This window comes from Homo sapiens, chromosome 6 (assembly GCF_000001405.40).
Source record: "Homo sapiens chromosome 6, GRCh38.p14 Primary Assembly".
NCBI classification, from domain to species: domain Eukaryota; kingdom Metazoa; phylum Chordata; class Mammalia; order Primates; family Hominidae; genus Homo; species Homo sapiens.
The window spans coordinates 131,778,231-131,782,840 of record NC_000006.12 but is presented as its reverse complement, the minus strand read 5'-3'; the positions used below and the strand labels follow the sequence as shown (position 1 = coordinate 131,782,840).

Here is a 4,610-nt window from a genome sequence, read left to right as displayed (position 1 = left end):
CTGGCATCCTCTCACTAGTATATTCCTTATGGGTCTGGCAAACTGCTTCCTTGGCATTCCCACAGAATATAGCCAGTTGGTGAACTTTTTGGCCTTACATTGTATATCCTGCCACTGCAGCCTGCCTGCTACCATGAGCCTCTTGATCCCCTTGCTCAACTTTGTACCGTGGAGTTGTGGAATTTCAAATAAAGTGAGCGTGAGCCATCATTTTCCCAAAGTTTTCAAAGCCAGCCTAGCAATGCATTAGCATCATCTTCAGTGGATCCTGCCAGTGTTAAATCCTGTGTTAAGGAAGAGGGCTGCCATATTGATAAATTCTTTATTGTATTGAATATTGTCTATGATATTCAATTCCCCTTAATTCAGCACACCCAGAATCCAGTTCCGTAATTTCTCCCCAGAGACTCTGGCATATGGGAACTGTATCCTGTGTCTCATTTGGTCTAAGTCCTTTTTCTCCCCTCGCAGGCCCAATGCTCACACAACTCAGCTGTGTTGTCACTTGACCCTACTTATTGGTCTGGCTGACAGGGGACAGGGAGCTACATCCAGAGGTGGGCATGTGTTTTTTTTTTTTTTTTTTTAAGGTCTCAGCTCATCTTCAAGGTGGTGGGTACTAGTCTTGAAAAAGGAAGAGTGGGCCCAGTTCTGCAGGTTTGGAGTCCTGTTTTCTAGCAGAGAATAGGTAGCTTTTGAAGGGTATTCAAAAGCTGAGATGTCTTTGTCTGAGATATGGGGCCCGGACCCCTGGCAGAACAAGACATTGTGTGATACTTCATATGATAAGTCGTTCCTTAATTCTTTGGTCATTTCTGGGAACAGCATGAAGCTATATTTTTGACCTTTTGAAGCAACAGCAGGGAAAGTTGTTACTTGTATTACCTTACGCTTTCAGTGTTTCACATCCCTTTTCATTCTTCTCATGATATCACTTCCTATCACATGCCAAATACATCCTAAGTACTTCTGTGTCCATCTGTTTCTGTGGAACCCCAGAGCAGTCATAAAACATATTTAAAAATCGTTGTTTATTAGGCTCCAGAGTGTTTGGAAATCTGTTTCCTAAATATATTTATTCACACAAGTTCCTCCTTTGGTTACAGATATTTTGTTAGATTTGTGTTTGAGGAGTGGGTGAAAAGAAGGGGAGTGGTAGCAGGAAAGAAGGAAAGAGTATGGTTAGGTTGTGCCCAGGATCCATGAATCCTAAATGGACTGCATCCAAAATGAATTATTTCGGGGGCTTCTGCAGCTGTTTGTAAATACAGGTAGTTAAGGAAGTAGCATGATATGGTGAAAAAAGGATTTGGAATCAGAATGCCTTTACTGAAGTCCTAGTTTCTCTATGGAAAGTGGGATGACTGTAGTCAAGTCATTTGACTTCTTTCTGTTGTGGTTTCCACATTTGAAAAAATGAGAATAATAATACTACCTGCCCTGCCAATTTCAAAAAGAGCTATTTGAAATATTAATTAAGATTCTGGACATGCCTTTCCATCTGGTGGCAACCATCAGGTAAGCCAAGGTGGGTGCATACAAGTACATCCGGGAGCTATGGAGAAAGAAACTGTCTGATGTCATGCACTTTCTTCTGAGGGTCCGCTGCTCAGCTGAGTACCACCAGCTGTCTGCTTTCCACAGGGCTCCCCACCCCACCTGCCCTGATAAAAGCACGCCGACTGGGCTACAAGGCCAAGCAAGATTGTAGGATTCGTGTTCGCCGTGGTGGCTGAAAACGTCCAGTTCCGAAGGGTGTAACTTACGGCAAGCCTGTCCATCATGGTGTTAACCAGCTAAACTTTGCTCGAAGCCTTCAGTCCTTTGTAGAGGAGCGAGCTGGACGCCACTTTGGGGCTCTAAGAATCCTCAATTCTTACTGGGCTGGTGAAGGTTCCACATACAAATTTTTTGAGGTTATCCTCATCGATCCATTCCATAAAGCTATGAGAAGAAATCCTGACACCCGACGGATCACCAAAAACCAGTCCACAAGCACAGGGAGATGCGCAGGCTGACATCTGCAGGCTGAAAGAGCCGGGGCCTTGGAAGGGCCATAAGCTCCACCACACTACTGGTGGTTTCGCTGGGCAGCTACTCCCTAGCTCCGCCGTTACCGCGAATACAAGTAAAGTTTGTACAATTCATACCTAATAAACAATTTAGGACAGGAAAAAGAAAAGATTCTGGACATGAACACTTTGTAAATTTTAAGGGACCATTTAGGTTGGTGATGATCTTCCTGTTGCAATTAGCATTGAATAGTTATAAACTAAAGGCAAACTATTCCTAAAGGGTGAATTTGCCACTTGAAGTGATGGTTTCTTTCCTATAAAATTTCTTGCGTTTTATTTTTTAATATTTCAAACTAAATAAATATTGTCAAATGAAACCTGGAAATATTTTATGTTTTAAATTAATAATCATTTCTAGTTTCATACCATGAATATTGAAAAAAAGTTTTTATATCCTCAAAAAAAAAAATCTACAGGGTATAACCACAGAGAAGGCAAACTGGTTTTTCCTATGCTCCTAAGCACATTCTACCCAGAGGGATAGCTGTATAAGTTTGTAGACATATCTGAGGATCCAAAGTAAACTTCTAAATATACAGAACTCCATTCAAGAAAATGATACTTTATTTTAAAGTAAAATTTGAGTTTAAAAATAAAAGTGTTTTTTAACAAGTTCCGTGCTGAGATAAACAGGCCTGCCCTCTCTCCACCTCTCCCCACTATAATTATCTTCGTTCCCCCAAAAATCACATAAGGTTTCTTTCTTGCTTAACATTACTTCTTTCTGCCTCATCCCGGCCTATTCTCACTTCCTTTGGGTCTGTTGCTCCCAGGTGACATGTAGTTTTCAGGTAATAAGCAATATTTAACTATCCTTTCTTAAGGAAGATTCTGGATATTACTTGATTCCCTTTCCTCACTTTCAATATCTCCTGTATCTGCTGTTTCTTTCTTTCCAAAAATGTATTATTATTATTATTATTATTATATAATATACATAAAGTAATTAGACCCAATAATAGTTATTATTATTAGGAATAACTATTTTGCTGATTTAAAATTACTCTTTAACTAATAGTAGAAAGAAATCCTTGAAAGATATTATCCTACTAAAGAAACAGCACGTTGAAATAATTCTCTTGGATATATAACAAGCTTGCAATGAAAAACAAGCTTATAAAAATATAATCCCTTGGCTTGCCTAGCATCCTACCTGCCCTGCCAAAGAAAAGAAAATGTGCTTACCAAATCAAATTATTCCAGTTGGTTGTTCTTCTTAACCAAATCACTGGCATAACTGCCAAATCCATTCCCTTGGGCGGCCTGCCACACACTCCTAATAGAACCAAATGGAACCAAAACACTGGACATGTTAACAAAGGTGAAACCAAGACAGAACAGGGAACTGGACAAATCCATTGTTCCCCTAAGCCCAGGGGGAAGAGGGCCCCTGCTGAGATCACCCACATTTGAGACCTATGATCCTCTGTGGGGGATGTTAGACTTTCAAAGAGGCATGTGTTTTCTTTTTGTTTGTTTGTTTGCTTGCTTTTATGAAACAGAGTTTCGCTCTTATGATCCAGGCTGGAGTGTAATGGCTCAATCTCGGCTAACTGCAAACTCCACCTCCTGGGTTCAAGCCATTTTCCCACCTCAGTCTCCCAAGTAGCTGGGATTACAGGCACCCGCCATCATGCCTGACTATTTTTTGTATTTCTAGTAGAGATGGGGTTTCACCATATTGACCAGGCTGGTCTCGAACTCCCAACCTCAGGGGATCCGCCCGCCTCGGCCTCCCAAACTGCTGGGATTACAGGTGTGAGCCACTGCGTCCGGCCACATGTGTGTTTTGGAAACAAAACATATTCAATATTGTGATAAAAGTATATAGTTGGAAAGCCAAATAAAAGTGCTTATTTTGAAATTTCAAATCATTTATTTTATTTTATTTTTTCCCAAGGAGGGCATGGATTTTGAAATATTGAGAAATGCTATCCAGATTTTTTTTTTCTTTCTACTTCTTATGAGAACTTGCCTGATGTTCTTGGCAGAGCTAAGGTCTGTATTGACGGTGTCAAAACCCATCAGAAAGTTAAAATCATGTATGCTACCAGCTTCACAGGGTGCAAGGGGGAGAAACCCAGCCTCCATAGGATCCATGGCCCAAGGCACAGAAGCTGATGGCATTTGCCTCTACCCTTCTCATCCTCAGTCTGTCTGTTTATGGAAACTGTAATTTCAATGCCCATGGTGGCACATGAAGCTCAAGTCATGTGCCTAGAGGGAGCAGAGGGAGCTCTGGATAAGTCTGGATACAAGGAGAGTTGCCATCCCAGGACAGAGTGATTTTCCACACCAATTTCCTGAGAAAGAAGAAGGAAAGAGAGGGATGAAGGGGAAGGGAAACTTGGCCACATTTATCACTGTGGGCTCATTTAAGCCTTTTGCTAAGTAAACATAGAAAAATACAGTGAAACCAGACTTCATTACTATATCCAGAAAGTATTTTACATGATTAACTGCTTTTTAGTCTCCAAATCCTGGAAGGCAGCTCTGCAGAATGCACTAATAGTTCTCAGAAAACCCATAAGAAAG

The 4,610-nt window shown here is 41.0% G+C and overlaps 1 pseudogene; it reads left to right on the top strand.

Moving 5' to 3' along the window:
* RPL15P9 (ribosomal protein L15 pseudogene 9) lies at positions 1,493–2,171 on the top strand (annotated as a pseudogene).